The sequence below is a fragment of the Homo sapiens genome, chromosome 2, assembly GCF_000001405.40.
Source record: "Homo sapiens chromosome 2, GRCh38.p14 Primary Assembly".
Taxonomy (NCBI): Eukaryota; Metazoa; Chordata; class Mammalia; order Primates; family Hominidae; genus Homo; species Homo sapiens.
The window spans coordinates 121,196,072-121,215,086 of record NC_000002.12 but is presented as its reverse complement, the minus strand read 5'-3'; the positions used below and the strand labels follow the sequence as shown (position 1 = coordinate 121,215,086).

The 19,015-nt window shown below is 53.2% G+C and overlaps 4 annotated features.

The window, feature by feature from the left end:
* Positions 86 to 586: an enhancer, noted in NCBI's record as "H3K4me1 hESC enhancer chr2:121972077-121972577 (GRCh37/hg19 assembly coordinates)". NCBI's record gives its function as "activates a minimal SCP1, AML or CMV promoter by ChIP-STARR-seq in naive H9 embryonic stem cells {active_cell/tissue: H9 hESC(naive)}" and the evidence as "EXISTENCE:reporter gene assay evidence [ECO:0000049][PMID:30033119]".
* Positions 14,365 to 14,864: an enhancer, noted in NCBI's record as "H3K4me1 hESC enhancer chr2:121957799-121958298 (GRCh37/hg19 assembly coordinates)". NCBI's record gives its function as "activates a minimal SCP1, AML or CMV promoter by ChIP-STARR-seq in primed H9 embryonic stem cells {active_cell/tissue: H9 hESC(primed)}" and the evidence as "EXISTENCE:reporter gene assay evidence [ECO:0000049][PMID:30033119]".
* Positions 14,865 to 15,366: an enhancer, noted in NCBI's record as "H3K4me1 hESC enhancer chr2:121957297-121957798 (GRCh37/hg19 assembly coordinates)". NCBI's record gives its function as "activates a minimal SCP1, AML or CMV promoter by ChIP-STARR-seq in primed H9 embryonic stem cells {active_cell/tissue: H9 hESC(primed)}" and the evidence as "EXISTENCE:reporter gene assay evidence [ECO:0000049][PMID:30033119]".
* Positions 17,212 to 18,110: an enhancer, noted in NCBI's record as "H3K4me1 hESC enhancer chr2:121954553-121955451 (GRCh37/hg19 assembly coordinates)". NCBI's record gives its function as "activates a minimal SCP1, AML or CMV promoter by ChIP-STARR-seq in primed H9 embryonic stem cells {active_cell/tissue: H9 hESC(primed)}" and the evidence as "EXISTENCE:reporter gene assay evidence [ECO:0000049][PMID:30033119]".

Here is a 19,015-nt window from a genome sequence, read left to right as displayed (position 1 = left end):
ACTCATCCTTCAGTGGACATTTTGGTTGCTTCCATGTTTAGCTATTGTGAATGATGCTGCTATGCACATAGGTGTGACCAAACAGCTCTTCATGTCCCTGCTTTCAGTTCTTTTGGGTAATGCTCAAAAGTGGGATTGCTGGGTCAATTCCATGTTTAATTTTTTGAGGAACTACCATCCTATTTTCCACAGGGGCTGCACCATTTTACATTCCCTCCAACAGTGCACAACGGTTCCAATTACTCCTTGCCAACACCTATTATTTTCCTGGGTTTTTTTTTTTTGTCTTTGTTTTTTAATAATAGCCATTGTAACTGGAGGCTTCAGGTGTTTGAAGTTTGATCAGTGGGTGGGCTGGCTGAATGCTGGTCAGCACGTTTGCAGCGCTGCCACCCCAGTCTCTTATCTCTTACCAGGACCAGGGCTGTAGCCCATGAGCCACCCACAGGCCTCCCTACCAGCCCCCTACCCTGCTCTGAAACCTTCCTACCCTGACCACAACTTTCCCAAGCTCTTCTGTCTCCAGCGTCCATTCTGATCATGTGTGCCCATGGCGCCCAGAGCTGTGGCTCCGCCATGCCTGCTGCCCGTGATCTCCCCAGACTTCCAAGCCCCACGGATGGCGCTCCTCCCACCCCGCACTGGTAAAGCCCCCCTCTCCTCTCAAGTTGCCTGCACGTCCCTGTGAGAGGAGCAGAGGGTGTGCACAGTGGGAGGGCCTTCAAGGCCTTGGGTTGGAATCCTGGGTCCGTATGATTTTGAGCAGGCTACTTAACCTCCCCGATTCCTATTCTCATCTGTGAAATAGAAATACCACCTGCCTTGCAAGTTTGTGGGGCTGAAATGAGACCATGTACACGAGACAGGGAGCAAAAGGCCGGGCACAGGACGAGGCTCCTGGGGAAATGTGGAACAGCACTGGCAGGGCCTCTGAGCTGGGAAACGGCTGGGTGTTCCAGGATCCTGAAGAAGGGCATTGTTGCTGAAGGAGGATGATGCCAGGGGAGGTCAGAGGAGGAGGGGATCGGGCCAGATAACGGAATGATCCTCAGAGTTTTCAGTGTTCCCAGTACACACGCGCATATTAATGAGTTTCACAAAACAATACTTGGACTAGTCCATGTCATTTTTTCTTGAGGAATGCAGATCTTGACCTGTGGAGCTGACCTTCTGGCCTGCTGGTGGGCTGTGCCCTATGCTTTGACTCTCCTGACACAGGGCGTTGCAGACCATATGGGAGCAGGAGGGTCCGGTCTGTGTTCTAAGTGCAGTGGGAAACAGCGTGGCAGGTCCTTAGGCTGAGAGGGTACGTGATGGCTGTCTTAGCCCATGCGAGCTGCTGTAACAGAATGCCATAAGTAAACTAGGTGGCTTATAAACAACAGAAAGGTATTTCTGTCCGTTCTGAAGGTGAGGTGTCCAAGGTCAAGGCGCTGGCAGATCCAGAGGCTGGAGAGGGCCTGCCTCCTAGGAAGGGGCAAACAAGCTCCCTAGGGCCTCTTTTACAAGGGCATTAACCCCATTCATGCGGGCTCCACCCTCATGGCCTCATACCTCCCAAAGGCCCCACCTGCATGTACCATCACCTTGGAGGTTAGGCTTCAACATCGGAAGCGGGGGAGGGAACACAAGCATTCAGTCAATAGCAACGGGATTGGGTTCAAGAGCTCAGAGTGGAACTAGGGAGCCTGGCAAGCTCAGGGCCCAAGAGTTCCCCTGTACCACCGTCTTTCCTTCTGGTATGGCTGCTGGCTGCCCCATCCGCCTGCACAGCCTCTGCCCCAACAGAGAAACTAGAGGTGAGCTAGGACACAAGAGTGGGATGGTGTGAACTCGGCAGCACCTCGCAGCAGCCGAGGCCCAGAGCAGCATGGGCCCACAGCAAAGGCTTCTTCCTTTCCATTCAAACTGCGAGAGCTCGGCAGGCCCCAGCGCAGGTGCGGCTCGGGTCGCTGTCCTCGGCCTCCCGGTGGGCAGGAGCCGGCAGCCGCCCTGCAACGTGGTCTATTTCCAGCAAACCACCCCCCTCCCCCCCAGCCATGATGCGGGCGTGAGGCTTTCCGGCTATTTCCCAGGATGTCTCTTCAGGCAGCGGGGTGCAGCACTGTGGTTCTGAAACTGGAGGGCTTGTTCTAAAGATGGCTGGGCCCTCGGCTCGGTGGGTCTGATCGGGGGCCTGGGAATTTGTATTTCTAAGAAGTCCCCAGGTGATGCTAACACCGTTTGTCCAGGGACCACACTTCGGGAGCCCCTGATGTAGCGGAGAACTGCCTAGCTTCTCATTCAGCCTCCGGCTGTGTGACCTTGCCCAAGGTCGCCTAACTTTTCTGTTTTGCTTGCCTCATCCGTAAAATTAGTCCACGAGGACTAATACTCGTGCCTGCCTCGCAGGACGATTATAACGAGTAAATGAGCTGAATTTACTTCAAGAGCTTGGAATGGCCCCGGCACATATTAAAGCGGTGAGAGGCAGGAGGCTTTTATTCATGGCTTGTAGTGGCTGGGTGGTGTCCCAGTGCATCGGAATCTTCAGGAGGGCCGGAAAGCCACCTGCACTGCACTGCGGGGGTTCCCCGCCCGCAGTCTCCCATTCAGTGGTGGGGTGCGGGTCTGAGAATGTGCATTCCTAACAGGTTCCCCCGGGGGCTGTTGCTGCTGGCCTGGAGGCACCTGCCCTCTCTTTCTGGGGAGGAACCTCCAAGAGGGATAGTGACTCACTCGGGTGGGGTGGGACAGAGGGGGACTAGAGAATGTTAGGGTCCAATGACACAAAGGTGACCCAGAGCCTGACAGCTGGCTGGTAGCTATGGGATCCTCTGCGCCTCCCTGTAGGGGAAGATGATTTGAGTAGTGAAACCTGTTGATGACCCTCCCACCCCCCAACAGACACACACACACACATGCACACAGACACACACACACACACGGAACCAGAGGGGCCTCCCGGGTACAGGTGTGGATGCCACTGGCTCTCGACCCCACTCTCTGCCCTGGGTCAGGTGAGTAGCCACACTCAGCGCTTCTGCTTCTGGAAGTCCTGGGCTGTGGCGGCTCCCACATCGCTGACTGGGGCTGTCCACATGGAAGACCCGTGAAAGTCACCAGTGGGAAGCAGGTGCATGCACTGTTTGGGCCTCTACCGGGTAGGCTGAAGATTCCACCTGGAGTGTGTCAGACAGGATAGGCCCTGGGAGGCTGACTCACGAGGACCAAACCCTGAGGAGCCTGAGGGAATCACTCCTGTGGGTGAGAGGAGGAAATCAGCCATATGGCTCTGGAGGATCCTGGCAGCCTGAGGACACTCTAAGGTGCAAAGCAGAATCCTCAAGGGAAGGGTGTCTGGGCAGGTTCTCCCAGCTGAGCCTCTGCTGGAACAAAGCTGGCTTTCCCCTGGTCCTCCAGCCAGGAAGCGCAGGCCCTTAGGCTTGGCTTGGACACTGTTCCTTGGACCCACCAGGGGCGGACCCAGGTCTAGACAGTCCCCTCCCGCCCCCCATTCCCAAACCCTCTGATAAACATGCTTTGGGGGAAGACTGCACGCCCTGCTTGCTCCAGCCCTGCTCAGCCCCAGGTTGCCTCGCCCAGGGAAGAATCTGGTGGCCAGGAGGCTTCCAGAGCTAGGTTGGGTTGAATATTAACCTGCCTTGATTGGGTGGAACAATATTTAAACTCAATTACAAGAGAAAGGGGTTATCTGGAGAGGGCTTATCAGGCCAGAGCAGCTATTGAAATATCTGATAAGCCCAGAGGTTGACATTGGAGTGGGGGAGGAGCTGGCCCCAAACACTAGTCCAGAGAGGAGAAAGGTGGATGAGGAAAATCGACCAACTTCCCTCCCTTCCTCCTGTCATCCCTTCTTTCTCCTCCTCTCCCTCCATTCCCTTTGTTCACATATGCTTTTTGAGTATCAGGGGCAGGCCCAGCTCTTTCCTGGCACCAACAGCTCACAGAACTTGCTGGGCCTTACTCTTCCTCTGGGCTCTTCCTCTGAGCTCCCATGGGCTCCTGTGCCTAGGCTGTAACTGTCCATCTTTCTGTCCGCCTCTCCCACTGGGAGGAGCTCCTAGAGACAGAGTTTGGTCTGCCTGATCGCTGCCACTCTGGAATCCAGCCCAGGGCCTGGCAGGGAGAAGCCTGCTAGGAGTGTTTGTTGAATGAGTAAGAGATAGCAAGAGGTGCTGGGCAAACGAGGGACTGGGACCTGAAAGCAGCGGTGAAGGGAGCCTGTGCCGGCAGGGGGCAAGCTGCTATATGGTGACGTGTCACCTTAGCACAGAGAGAATGGGGACAGAGGACAGTGAGTTCGGATGGGGCAGTAGGGATTGGGAAGAGGACAAACATGGGCACAGGGATGTGGTGTGGGCCGGCAGGAGGAGGCCTGTGAGGGGCTCCCCCAGCCAGGTATTGCCCGTGCCTTGTCTGAAGGGATCCAGGATGTACCACACTGAAGAGGGTTTTCTGGTTTATTTTTTTATTTTTTTATTTTTTTATTCCCCTTAATCTGCCTAAAAGCAGAGGCTCCCAAAAGAATTCAGCTGCCAGAAATCCTTTCCCTGGAACTTTCAAAACCAGAGAGATGGACTCCTATCACCAAATACAAGAATTCAAGAAGTCAGCACTGGCACCAAGATAAGAAATCACCAGAACAGACATAGTTGCAAAACTGTCCTAGCTGCCATCTGTTCTCCTAGGGGCCATTTATCTTTCCTAAAAGTAAAATGGTCCTTCTCTTCCCTCTTCCCCTATTAACATGGTATATAAGTCCCAAATTATAACCACCTCCTTGAGTTGCATTTTTCTTTTCTTTTCTTTTTTGAGACAGAGTCTCACTCTGTCACCCAGGCTGGAGTGCAGTGGCACCATCTCGGCTCACTGCAACCTCCATCTCAAGCAATTCTCCTGCCTCAGCCTCCCAAGTAGCTGGGATTACAGGCACCCGCCACTGCGTCCAGCTAATTTTTGTATTTTTAGTAGAGATGGGCTTTCGTCATATTGGCCAGGATGGTTGTGAACGCCTGGCCTCAGGTGATCTATCCACCTCGGCCTCTCAAAGTGCTGGGATTACAGGTGTGAGCCACCACGCCTGGCCACATTTTTCTTTTTATTTATACTTGTTTTATCCTTTTCTCCTTTTTTCTCTTTTCTTTTTTTTTATTTTTTATTTTTAACATTTCTTTCTTTTTTTTCTTTTTCCTTTATCTTCTTCTTCTTTTTCTTTTTTTTTTTTTTGAGACAGTTTCTCACTTTGTCACCCAGGCTGTAGTGCGGTGGATCATAGCTCGCTGCAGCCTTGAACTGAGTCACATTTTTCTGTGAAACTCCCTCATAGGTATGAGAATAAAAATCCATCTTTTTTCTCTAGCGAATCTATCTTTTGTCAGTTTAATTCGCAGGCCCCTAGTCACTGAACATAAGAGGACACAGGAAAAGTTTTTCCTCCCTATTATCTCATCTGCACTCACAGCACCTTTTCAGGCAGTTGTTAAAGTCTCTGCTTTGCCTGTGAGGAGACTGAGGCTCAGAGAATCTGGGCAGCTTCTTCAGGGACACACAGCTAGTCAGGGGGCAAAGTCAGGCTTCTGACCCAGGTCCGTCAGCTCCAAAGACTGTGCCACCGTCCCATGTGGCTGCGGGGAGGCTGATGCTGGGGAGCAAATGCATCCGGATAAGGTGCTGCTCCTGGCTGGGAAGGCGGATGCCAGGATATCTAGGTAGCTTGGGAGATGCCCCTCCCGGCAGTTCTTCCTGCCCATGGGGAAGCGTGCCTTTGAGACAAGCTACATACCATGCTTGTCCCCTCTCCACCTCAGCCCTGACCCAGCTGTGCCCTTGGGGCCTGTGGAAAGGGGTGAGCTAGAACCGCCTCCTCCTTCCCAGTGCTGCGCCCGCTTGCCTCTCTGGGACGGGGAGGGGTGGGATATGCGGCCAGGGGGCTGGCTTGGTTTAAGTCTTCAGCTCACAGCCCAGCCCCAGCCAGGGGATCCTGAGCCCCAACTCGTTTACAGTCCCTGCATGGGCATCTTCCCCACAGCTGCAACTGTCCCCTCTGCTGGCCCTGCTGCTGCCCTCTGGAATGTGGGCCCTAGGAAAGGAAGCCTGTCCCCGGGTACCTGCAGATGCAGCTCTTCCTCTGGGCTGCCGTGGGCTGCTGGGCTCCAGGGTTCTGCCCCAATACTCAGGCCACCTCCTCTCAGGTGAGGTGCTCACCCCTCTCCAGCACCTTCTGCTGACCGTCCCTGCCCCTCTATTGTGGATGGACTTGGGAGGCCAGTTCTGTGCTTCACCTCCTTCCACCTTCCTCCTTCATCTGTCCCTTTCATTCATTCTTTCCCTCTTGAAGAGAAAGTGGACTCAGAGTTCCAGCTGATCTAGCAGGGAGACCCTGGCTCTGACCCCCATAGGCTGTTTTCTTTTTTCTTTTTCTTTTTTTTTTTTTGAGACAGGGTCTCACTCTGTCACCCAGGCTAAAATGCAGTGATGTGATTTCAGCTCACTGCAGCCTCAACCTCCCTGGGCTCAGGTGATCTTCCTACCTCAGCCTCTCAAGTAGCTGGGACTACAAGTGTGTGCCACCACACCCGGCTATTTTTTTTTTTTTTTGTATTTTTGGTAGAGACAAAGTTTCACTATGTTGCCCAAGCTGGTCTCAAGCAATCCACCTGCCTTGGCCTCCCAAGGTGCTGGGATTACAGCTGTGAGCCACTGCATCTGGCCGACTGTTTGCCATTTAATCTCCCTAAAGTCTCTTTTTTTAAAAAAAATGGGGACTAGGACCAGCCTGACCAACATGGAGAAACTCCATCTCTACTAAAAATACAAAATTAGCCAGGTGTGGTGGCGCATGCCTCTAATCCCAGCTACTTGGGAGGCTGAGGCAGGAGAATCACTTGAACCCGGGAAGCGAAGGTTGCGGTGAGTCAAGATCGTGCCACTGCACTCCAGCCTGGGCAACAAGAGCTAAACTCCATCTCAAAAAAAAAAAAAAAAAGGTAGGGGGGACTAGTCATACCTACTTCAGACAAATGAAGATGAATAAATATATGTATATATTCTAAATGAACAGATATTGAAGGTGTATTGGTCAGGCTGCTTGGAGCTTTTCTGGCCTAGAAGTCCCCCTTATGGCTACTGTCATTCTGTGGAAAGCCACTGTCCGCAGGACTAGACTCCTGGAAATGACCTTCAGGGAGAACTCTGCTTTTTCCTTGGGGCTGTAAGAGCTCCCAGCTGAGGAGTAACGGAGGGAGTAGAGGCAAACCCTGTCCTCCCTGCTGTGAGGTGTTCTGCCAGCATCCCTTTGGCTTCAGCCTGACTCTTGAGCCGCCAGCTCTGGCTGACTTGTCTGTTTCAAAGCACGCTGCTCCTGCACGCCCCAGAAGGGAGGGGTGTCTCTGTTTTGAAATTAATCTGACTTTGACTTTAGGAAGGGGCCATGAGGGCCTTGGGCAGACCATGTGTTCTAAGTAGTGTTGTGGGTACTGTTTTATTTGTTGCTAGTGACTTAAGAGTTTGAACTGGGTCTGAAGACCGACTACACTGTCTGTAAAGTATTCAAAAGAAGATGACATTAAAAAGAAGACTCCCAAGAACATAGAATAACACCGCTAAGGTAAGCATTTTTAGAAACAGATATTAAGTTGGAAATATCCTGAGAAGATTGAATTAAAATACAATATTCTCATATCTTGGCCATATTAGGTAAGTAATATTGGCCACTGCAAAAACAAGCCCCAAACGCCCATGGCTTAACATAATAAAGGTTTATCTCCCCTTCACATCTCAGGCCCATGTGGGCGCCCAGGGCCGCCTCCCACATGGTCATTCAGGGACCCAGGTTCCTTCCATCTAGTGGTTCTGCCATTTTTGTGTGGTTTTTTTTTTTTTTTTGAGACGGAATTTTTCTCTGTCACCCTGGCTGGAGTGCAGTGGCGCCATCTCGGCTCACTGCAAGCTCCGCCTCCCGGGTTCATGCCATCTCCTGCCTCAGCCTCCCGAGTAGCTGGAACTACAGGCGCCTGCCACCATGCCCGGCTAATTTTTTGTATTTTTAGTAGAGATGGGGTTTCACCATGTTAGCCAGGATGGTCTCGATCTCCTGACCTCGTGATCCGCCCGCCTTGGCCTCCCAAAGTGCTGTGATTAAAGGCATAAGCCACCGCGCCTGGCCCGTTCTGCCATTTTCTAGGGCCTTAGAGCCTTTGCTCCTGCCAGAGGAAGGGACAATGGGGACCCTGGGAGGAGAGGTTTTGGGGACCAGCTTGGAAATGGCGCCCTCACTTCTGCTTGGATGACCTTGGGCAGCGCAGTCACAGGTCGTACCCAACAGCCTGGTTGGGTGGTTGGGAAATGCGGTCTAGCTATAGGTCCAGCCTTCTCTGCCACAATGACATTTAAGACATAAATAAATAAAAGCCAGCTGGAATAAGTGAAAAAAGAAATTGCCGACGCCTATGGTGTCCCCTCTGTGCCAGGCTTTGTCCTTAATCTGTAGATACCAATCCTCACTATAGCCCTGTTTAGACACCAGTATCAGCACTACTTTCAGAAGCAGGAAATTTAAACCAGGAGAGGTTCATTAAGTTGCTGAAGAAAGGAGTTTACCGGCCAGGCCCTGTGGCTCACGCCTGTAATTGTATCATTTTGGGAGGCTGAGGCAAGAGGATTGCTGGAAGGCCAGGAGTTCAAAACCAGCCTGGGCAACACAGCAAGACCTCATATCAATTCTTAAAAAAAAAAAAAAAAAAAGAGAAGGAAGAAAGAAAGGTTAAAGAAAGAAAAGGTCCAAAGTGGGCTGATTTTTAGGAGAAGAAAGGAAGGGAGGGAGGGAGGGAGGGAGGAAGGAAGGAAGGAAAAGAAAAGGTCAAAAGTGGGCTGATTTTTAGGGGTCCTGCATATTTATTCATTCTTTTTTTTTTTAAACCAATTGTCATTCTGAGCTCACACTGTGGTGTGCCAGGCGCTGCTGTGTGGGGTGGTGCAGGGTGATTGGCAGGGTGATTGGCTCCCCCAAGCCTAGCTGTTGGGTGTGACCCAGGAGTTAAGAGGGGGTGACTGTTGTCTCCCACCTCCTCCAGATTCTTCTTATGGCCTCTATTTGCCTCACAAACCTAAGAATGTGCATCGATGCCTTTAAGAAAAAAAGTGCATTGTTATTGGAAAGACAAAATTGGCCTGCAGGTTTCCTATGACCCACCATGGGTGTTTGTATATAAAACAGAGCCCGGGCCTGGGGGTGGCCAGGGGCTGCGCTGCACACAGAGGCCCACTGTCAGCCAGGGCTGAGGCTCCAGTTTCAGTCCTGAGTCTCTGGCACAGAGTGGATGGAGACTGGGCGAGAGGACATGGCTCCTATGTGACATAGCTGTGGCATCTTGGCTGAATTCCAGCCAGACTCCAAGTCACGCAGGCCTAGAGAATCAACGCTGCAGGGAACCCTGGAAATCCAGGCCTGTGGTCTTCAAACTTGCCATGCCAAACCTGCTTTGAAGGAAATAGAATGTAGCAGCACATTCAGAACCAAGAGCTGCTCTGAAGGGCCAGATTGGCATGGGCGGAACTGAGGACCCAGGGCTGTGTGGACCACGGTGGGAAAGCTCAGAGCTGCTCTAACCTCTTCTGCTGTAGCTGCTGGGGAAACTGAGGCCCGCAGAAAGGAAGCAACATGCTTAAGGGCATCCGGTGACTTGGTGGCCCATCAGGCTAAGAAGGAACCCATCAGATGTCAACTGGAAGTAGTGGGTCCCAGCTTACCCTTACTTCGCTTTGTTTGTTTGTTTGTTTCTTTTTGAGACAGAGTCTTACTCTGTCTGGAGTGCACAGTCTGGAGTGCAGTGGCACACTCTCGGCTCACTGCAACCTCTGCCTCCTGGGTTCAAGCAATTCTCTTGCCTCAGCCTCCTAAGTAGCCGGGACTATAGGCGCGCGCCACCATGCCCGGCTAATTTTTGTATTTTTAGTAGAGACAGGGTTTCACCATGTTGGCCAGGCTGGTCTCGTACTCTTGACCTTGTGATCTCCCCACCTCGGCCTCCCAAAGTGCTGGGATTATAGGCATGAGCCACCGTGCCCAGCCTTTTTTTTAAAAAAAAAAAAATTTTGAAGATAGAGTCTCACTCTGTCACTCAGGCTGCGGTGCTGTGGCACGACTTGGCTCACTGCAACCTTTACCTCCTGGGTTCAAGTGATTCTTCTGCCTCAGCTGCCCAAGCAGCTGGGACTGTAGGCATGTGCCACCATGCCTAGCACATTTTTGTATTTTTTGTAGAGATGGAGTTTCACCATTGTTGCCCAGGCTGCTCTTGAACTCCTGGACTCAAGTAATCTGCCCACCTCAGCCTTCCAAAGTGCTGAGATTATAGGTGTGAGCCACTGCGTCTGGCCCTTACCCATAGTTCTGTGTAACTTGGCCATAAAATGCGGGTTCCCACCATTCCATCCTCAAGTTCAATAATTTGCTATTATGGTTCACAGAACTCAGAGAAGCTTAGATTTACTAGTTTATCCTCTGATAAAGAGTATGATAATGGACACAGATCACAGCCAGATTTTTAAAAGTACATAGAGCAAGGCCCGGAATCGTCCCAAGGGCAGGAGCTTCTGTCCCCCTGGAGTTGGTGCTCACCAACCCAAAAGCTCTAACCCTCGTGCCTTAGGGATGTGTTTTTTTTGTTTGTTTTTTGTTGTTTTTCAAGATGGAGTCTCACTCTGTCGCCAGGCTGGAGTGCAATGGCGCGATCTCAGCTCGTGGCAACCTCCACCTCCCGAGTTCAAGCAATTCTCCTGCTTCAGCCTCCTGAGTAGCTGGGATTACAGGCATGCGCCACCACACTGGGCTAATTTTTGTATTTTTAGTAGAGATGGGGTTTCACCATGTTGGCCAGGCTGGTCTTGAACTCCTGACCACAGGTGATGCACCCGCTTCGGCCTCCCAAAGTGCTGGGATTACGGGTGTGAGCCACTGTGCCGGGCCCTCAGGGATGTTTATGGAGGCTTCATTGTGTAGGTGTGGTTGATTATTAACTCAATCTCAAGTTCCTCTTTCCTCCCTGGAGGATGGCCCTAGGGCTGAAAACGCCAAGCTTCTAATCAGGGCTTGGTCTTTCTGGTGACCAGCCCTGTCCAGAAGTCCCCCAAGAGTCACCTCGTTGGAACAAAAGATGCTCCCATCACCCAGGAAATTCTAAGGGCTTTAGGAGCTCTGTGTCAGGGAACACTGGGAGATCCTGGAGAGCAGCTGATGACCAACATTCCTCAAGGGTAGGAGGTTCAGGAACTTGCTCAGTGCCCTGCAGTGAGGACGTGCCAGGGCTGGGACTGGAGGCAGCCAGTGGGCTCCAGAAAAGCCTCACCAACACTCTGGATGTAAACATCAGTGAAGAAGTTCCAGTAACCAGCGCATGATAGCCCCACACAATATGGATGTGTATCTGACAGGAGAGCGATGGAAAGGAACCAGAGAGAACGCAAAATGTGATGGAACAGCCTCTGCAGCTGCTAAGGACGCCGAGGTGGTAGTCATATGGAAAGGCAAGCACGCGATTAGCATGAATGTCAGCGGAGTGGTTAGCTCTGGGGAAGGGAAGGCCAGCCAGGTTCTGGAAGACCAAAATGTGTTATTTCTGGAGCTGGGTGGTGACTTCTTGGGGCTTTGCTTTGTGATAAGTCATTGAGCTGTGTGCTTGTTTTGTGCCCTTTTCCATATGTGTATTACATTTCAAAATAGGACAGGCTTAAAAAAAGAGGCAGAAACGCTCAGGAAATGAAGTGTGTCACCCTTCAGAGGAAGGACCTGCCCTTGGAGTGCCACCAGCTGGAGCGGGCAGCGCCTTTGGATCCAGGGCACCTTCTGCCTTCTCTCTTTACCCACCGGCCTGTCTTCCAGGTTCACCAACAAACTGGTGTTGGTGACACTTAATTGTGAGTCCCTGTTCCTAGTGCCGGCACGAGCAGGTGATGCAGCATCCTCCCCTGGGAGCCCAACTCCACTGCAGAGCCAGGCAGTCACGCCAGGCAGGGGCCAGAATGGCCTCCCCATTGTCCTTCCCCATCAAAGCCACTCTGGCTGAGAGCTCAGAAAAATGAGGAGGCCTCACAATAGGTGGGAACAGAAGTGGACCTTTGCCTTTCTGGCCTCCTGCCACCTGATGCCCAGCCCTATGAGCCAGCCTTAGGAGGCAGCACTCAGCTGCCCAGCCATGAGGCCTTTCAGCTCACACCTGGGCCAGCTGGTGCAAGGAGGGACTCTGGTGGATCTCCCCTCAACCACTTCCCTGGGCCTCACTTCTGAGTCCATTGAGTAAGGATAATTATTCCTGCCTCCCCAGGATGGTTGCCTGGTTTCAGTGCACTGACTCATAAACAGCGCAAGGCACCGCACTGGCATGGGAAGGCTCGATCACATGGCTCTCCTGCTTGGGACTGCCTTCCCTCCTTGATCCCTCCCAGATGCATCCAATGCCACCTTGACTGTGCTGCCTTCTGGCTTTCATTCTTCAGTTCTCTCGTTCCTGCCTCAGGGTACCCTGCTGACCTCCTCCGAGCCCAAGTGGGGTAATGAACCCTTCCCTGGCCCTCATGGCCCTCATGGCCCCCAGCTTGCCCCAGCAGTGGTGCTTGACACTCCCCTGGGACTGCAAGCGTGCACCACCACACCCGGCTAATTTTTTTTTTTTTTTTTGTATTTTTAGTAGAGACGGGGTTTCACCATGTTGGCTAGGCTGGTCACAAACTCCTGACCTCAGGTGATCCACCTGCCCCAGCCTCCCAAAGTGCTGGGATTACAGACGTGAGCCACTGCGCCTGGCCTGCTAGGTGCTTTATATCCATTCTCCCAGAAAACCCTCATGATGGCTTTGCAAGGTGGGTGTTATTACACTCATTTTCAGATGAGGAAGCAGAGGAGAAGGAAGGTAAGTTATCAGGGGTGCGCCCAGCATGGTCCCACTTCCTGCTGCTGGGCTCCCTGCAGAACGTACTCCATCCTTGACACCTACTCCTGCTCCCTTGCTTTGGGACTGGCTGCAGATCTACAGGTTGTCCAGAGACTGTGTCCATGTAGGTGCCATGTACACACCTCCCGGCTGGTCAGCTCTGTGTCAGCACTCAGGCCACCTCCCAGGAAGGGGTGCTCACCCCTCTCCAGAGATGGCACCTTCTGGTGACCATCCCTGCCCCTCTATTGCAGATGCACTTGGGAGGCCAGTTCTGTGCTTCACCTACTTCTACCTTCCTCCTTCATCTGTCCCTTTCATTCATTCTTTCCCTCTTGAAGAGAAAGTGGACTCAAAGTTCAAGCTGATCTAGCAGGGAGACTCTGGCTCTGACTCCCATAGACTGTTTTCTTTTTTCTTTTTCAGCTCCTGCTGAATGGGAGGTAGAGCCTGGGGTGAAGCCTGGAGAAGTCATCCACAGGGATCCAGGGCCCAGCAAGGGGTCCAGGGCAGGGCAAAGCCAAGACTGTTCCCAGCCAGTTCCCAGGCAGGATCAGGCAGAGACCAGCAGAGTCAGGCTCCCCTAGAAATTGCCCCAATGCAGATCTGAAGGTGGGTGACACTCTGGCCTGTAAGGACACTCATGCACAGATACCAGGCACTTCCCATGTACCAGGAGCAGTGCTTAGCCCTGGAGCCCAGGCACAAGCAAGACACCATCCTTGGCTCAAGGGACTCCTGGCTGGTGAAGATAATTATGGAAAACAACCAACCTGGGAACACAACAAATCCTCTGAAAATGAGGAATGGCTGCCATCTGTCTGGAGGCTCCCTGTGCCGGGCACCAGGCCGGGCATCTGGGGTGCGTTAGGACTCATGCTCATGAGTGACTTTGCAGTGCAGATATCTTTATGTCCATTTCTGCCAAGGAGGTGATTGAATTCTAAGGCTCACTCAAGGTCAAAAATCATGGAGGGTCAGACTTGGAACACAGGTCTGTCTGACTCACCTTCCTTCCTCCCAGCTTTGGCTCCTAATCCTTGCATGAGGAGCCTCTGAAAGCGCCTTTTGCCAACAGCCAGCAGGGTGGGAGGCCCCAAGTGCACTGAGCAGAGCATCTTGCCTGTAGCTGATCTTGGCTATGACCGCAGGGAAGAAAAGAGATCCTGTGTTTTGGGGGTGAGGTGTGTGACTGGGGGAAGACAGTCCTGGCAGGGTGGAGGTGGTAGCAGGGGCCACCACTGAGTTCCATGGCTGAGCTCATTCTTGGCCTTTAATCATAGCCACTGGGTAGCTAGAATGTCACATCGTACTGGGGGCAGAGGGCCCAGGTAACTTCCCTCCAGACCAGGGGCATGGGTGTCTTTCAAAGGAAGCAGGGAGGGCCCTCCAGCCCCGGCTCTCTGGTAGCAACTCGAGAATAGATCCTGGCCCTGTGTCCCTGCTGGAGGCTGCCATTCTGCCATCTGCTCAGCCTCTTGGGTCTGAAACAGCATCTTCTGTTGATACCGGAGCTCACGAATCAGTCGTCTTCTCACTGTGGCCAGGGCACGCTGAGCATTTCTCCAGGACATCCTTCATCGATTGGGGAAGTCTTCTGCCTGGAATGTGCTCCATCTGCCTGCCTCTCCCTCCTCCTTCAAGGCTCAGCTGAAGTCTCCCTCTGCTGAAGCGTTCTTTGACAACTCGGTCTGGCCCCCCATTTCTTCACACTTTGCACCCTGTCTTAGGCAAGTTGCAAGGTCCTTCAAAGGCAGGGAGCAGAGACGCACACAGAGCCACTGGAGCAATGAGGGCAACTGTAAGCCTGCACAGCAGGGTCCCCACGGCACTGCTAGCTCTGAGTTCAGGACTCTACAGCAACACACAGCGGCTCAGGAGCTGCAGGAGCCCACAGCCGCAATGCTCATCCTGGCCAGCCTCCCTGGAGTGCCACACCCTGCCCCACCCCAAGGCCCACCGGCCAGAGCCTTGAGGCCTCAAAGCCATCCCTTCCCTGTCGCCTGGCCCACTGGCAGCTGGAAACATGCTGAGAGGGAAGGCCAGGGCTCAGGCGGGTCAGGGTCTCTGTGTCAGATGAAGTCACGGAGGGCACGTGTGAGGCAAGAGGCTGGGGGGGATGACAGCAAGCCACAAGTGGAGCCCTCGGCTATGTGGAGCCCCGGAAGGAGTGGGAAATGGCTGGACTGCAGTGTAGGAGACACCATGGGAAGGAGGCCTGCAGCCCCAGCTTTGACCTTCTTCCTGTCCCCAGCTCCAGGTTCTCCTGGAAGGTCAGCTGCACTAGGTGGGGGCTGGGTGAATCTCCATCACTGCATTCTCCAGGCCTAGAGTGGCACCTGGCACCCAGTGCTGCCTGGGTCCATGTCTTGCTGTAGAGAACTGAGCACAGAGCTAGAGGTGTCGTATCACCCAGATCACAGATCGGAAGGAGACACTGTCCCATCCTCCAGGGCACTCACTCCTAAAGTGGCAAGCAAACAGGACATGGAGACAAGGTGTGATGGGGGCATGCAGTGGTGAGGGGATGGGGCATGTCTGGAAGGGAACCGTGTGGAGAAAACTCTCTTCAACAATCATCAACACAGAATACTTCTGTGATCAGATGTGCGGGGGTTTTCCACACACCAAGCAGCGGACTCCAGCTGGGGGTCCTCGAATTCTGACTCCCTACCTGGAGATAGTGTGAGACCCCACAAGTGGAGGGCTCAGTCCCCAAGACTGCCCCTGCCCCCCACCTCCACCAGTCACAAGTCCAGGCCTCCGGAACTTCTGACATACTGACTTCAAGTTGGGGTTCCCATGACCCCCTCTTTGGGTTTGAGTAATTTGCTGGAGCGGCTCACAAAACTCAGGGAGACACTTACGTTTACTGTTTTATTATAAAGGATATTGCAAAGGATACAGGTGAAGAGACGCATAGGGCAGGGTATGGCGGAGGGGTGTGGGGGTTCCATGCCTGCCCTGGGGCACCACCCTCCAGCGTTCTCCATGTGTTCAACTGCCTGGAAGCTCCCTGAACCCTGTCCTCTTGGGTTTTTATGGAAGCCTCATGACATCAGCATTCCTTCCCCCAGGGTAAGACTGTGGTCTTAAGACCCACAGTCAGAAAGGCAGGGGACACAGGCGTGAAGGGAGGGCAGGAGAAGGTCAAGGGCCTGCCCCTGAGGCCTTAGACACCCAACACCATAACCCAAGCCTGTAACGATGGCTGTGGGGGTTATGAGCCAGGAACTGTGGGCGAAAACCAAGATAGTTGTCACAACACCATAGGACCCCTCATCCCAGCCTCAGGGGTCTGGGGCACTTCCTGGAGATGAGGCTTGAGGTTAGTGGGGTTTTAAAATTTATTTTCCTCCCAAGTTTTTGTAACTTAATTTTAATTTTATATTTTTTAGAGACGGGGTCTCGCTCTCTCACCCGGGCTGGAGTGCGGTCACAGGTCACTGTAACCTCCAGCTCCTGGGCTCAAGGGATCTCTCCCTCCTCAGCTTTCCAAAGCGGGGGCATGCATGAGCCACCACACCCAGCTGTAAATTTTAGAAATAATTTCAAACTTACAGAAAAGTTACCAAAATAGTACAAATTATTTCTGATACAATTCGAACTCCTTAAAATGTTCATGTTTTACCACAGTTGCTTTTTCTCCCCATCTCTCTCTCATTCTCTCTCTTTTTTTTTTTATTCAGAGTCTCACTCTGTCGCCCAGGCTGGAGTGCAGTGGCGCTATCTCGGCTCACTGCAAGCTCCGCCTGCCAGGTTCACGCCATTCTCCTGCCTCAGCCTCCCGAGTAGCTGGGACTATAGGCGTCCGCCACCACGCCCGGCTAATTTTTTGTATTTTTAGTAGAGACGGGGTTTCTCTGTGTTCCAGGATGGTCTCGATCTCCTGACCTTGTGATCCGCCCACCTTGGCCTCCCAAAGTGCTGGGATTACAGGCGTGAGCCACCGTACCCGGCCCTCTCTCTCATTCTCTTAATACATTTTTTTCTAAAATATTTCAGAGTAAGTTGCAGACAGGAAGCCCTTTTACCTCTGAATATTTCAGTGAGTGTTTCCTAAAAATGTGGACACCCTTTAACATAACCGCAGTACCATAATTCATGTTAGGAAATTGCAATAACACTATTAGCTAATTTGGATTTTATTTTGAGGAACTCCTCTGGTCAACACTGGTGAGGTGTGGCGTGGGCAGGCCGGGGGTGTGGGGTGGCCAGTGAGTATGCAGGGTTGGTCAGCACTTCCGTGCTGGTACCCGAGAGGGGTAGGGGACACGAGATTGCAGAGTAAGCTCATCTCAAAGGCCTGGGACTTAGTTGAGGGTTGAACTTGACCCCAAAGCACTGGGGAGCCGGCAGATTGGCAGGCTGGCCAGAACAGGCTGGTCCCTCTTGTGTCCTTCCTGATGCCCTGGCCTGGCACCCGTGATTCCAGTCGGCCAAGGGCCCTCAGTCCATGGGAGAAGAATCGAGTTGCCCTGTTCAGTGAGAAGTTCAGGAAGAACAGAATGTACTTACTGTGCCCAGGGAACAGGGAGTGGAAGGGCAGGGAAGGAATTAAAAGAAAAGTAACCGAGTGTGAGTGTCTGGCAGGAGCCTGGCCTGTTTTGTAACCACGAAGTGTCCCAGTGAGTCACCACTCTTCTCCAAGGCCTGCTCCTTCCGTGTCACCCCCGAGCTGGTCTCTTGTTCCAGCACTGTTCTCCTCTCAGCTTGGTGTTCCCGGGGCACGTGGACTCGGAGTTATTCACAGCTCGGTTTGAATTCAGCCGTGGCTGGCTTGTGAGCTCAGGCAAGATGCGGTCCTCTCTGAGCCTCCTGTCTTTTTTTTTTTTTTTTAGGTGACCGAATCTCACCCTGTCGCCCAGGCTGGAGTGCAGTGGCACGAGCTTGGCTCACTGCAACCTCCGCCTCCAGGGTTCAAGCGACTCTCCTGCTGCAGCCTCCCGAGTAGCTGGGATCACAGGTGCCTGACACCACGCCCAGCTAATTTTTGTATTTTTAGTAGAGACGGGGTTTCACCATGTTGGCCAGGGTGAAACTCCTGACCTCAGGTGATTCGCCTGCCTCGGCCTCCCAAAGTGCTGGGATTATAGGCATGAGCCACTGTGTCTGGCTGCCTCCTGTCTTGTAGATTGTGGCAGGAGCTCCAGGTGGGATGGGAGGTGTTTTGCCCAAAGCGGGCCCAACGCAAGCCTGGTTCCATCACTCACTGGCCCCTAAGTCTCTTTGTGGGTAAGGCCCATGGCTCCCGGGCACTATTTCCCCCAGCTGCGAGGAGGCCCGTGCTTACCAGTGAGTGCCTTGAGAGCAGGCCTGGGCCCGATTCACCTCAATGCTCCTGCCCAGGCCAACGGCACACAGGTGTGTTCAGTTGATGTTTGCCGAGGCTATGAGGAAGATAAGCCCCAAAGTCGGCACCTAGCGTGCAGCAGAGCCTTGGGAAGCGTTGTAGTCTTACGTGAGGTCTTTAAGCCCTCCAGAGTTATGCCCCAGAGCCCAGCGTGCCGCAGGTGATGGGTGTTCCCCTCCTGAGTGTACACCAGTTGGGAAGGAGACCCCTGCACGTGGAATTACTGGGGCTAAGGAGGTGAGAGGCGGGAGCTGCAGCTGGGGCTGCAGGAGGTCGTAGCTAGGACTGCCGGGCTACACTGGGTGTGGGGGTCTGAGCAATGCGTAAGGCAGGAGGGAATGTGGGTGTGTGGGCAGGGGACAGGGGTCTGGCTGCAGCCCTCATCTCCTGCCAAGGCTTTTCCTCTGCCCTTGGGGTAACCCGACACCCAGCCATACACCTGAGGTGCACGTAAGGGCTGCACCTCACCTGCCTCTCTTGGCTGCTCCAATTGCATTTGGAAGGTGTTGCAAATTGCTCTGTGATGTTCTGGAGCCAAACCATGTCCCTGGCCCATAGCCCAACCCCTGGGGCTTGGCGTCAGTGGCATTGTCCCTGGAAGACAAGCTGCCTTTGAGGGTTTGAGGGTTTGGAGGGTTTGAAGGCTTTGGTTTGGCGGGCCCCGTCCACAGGGCTCTACCTGGCTGGGTCAAGCAGAATCAGGGTGGTGAGAGGACACAGCCCTGGGCCACCC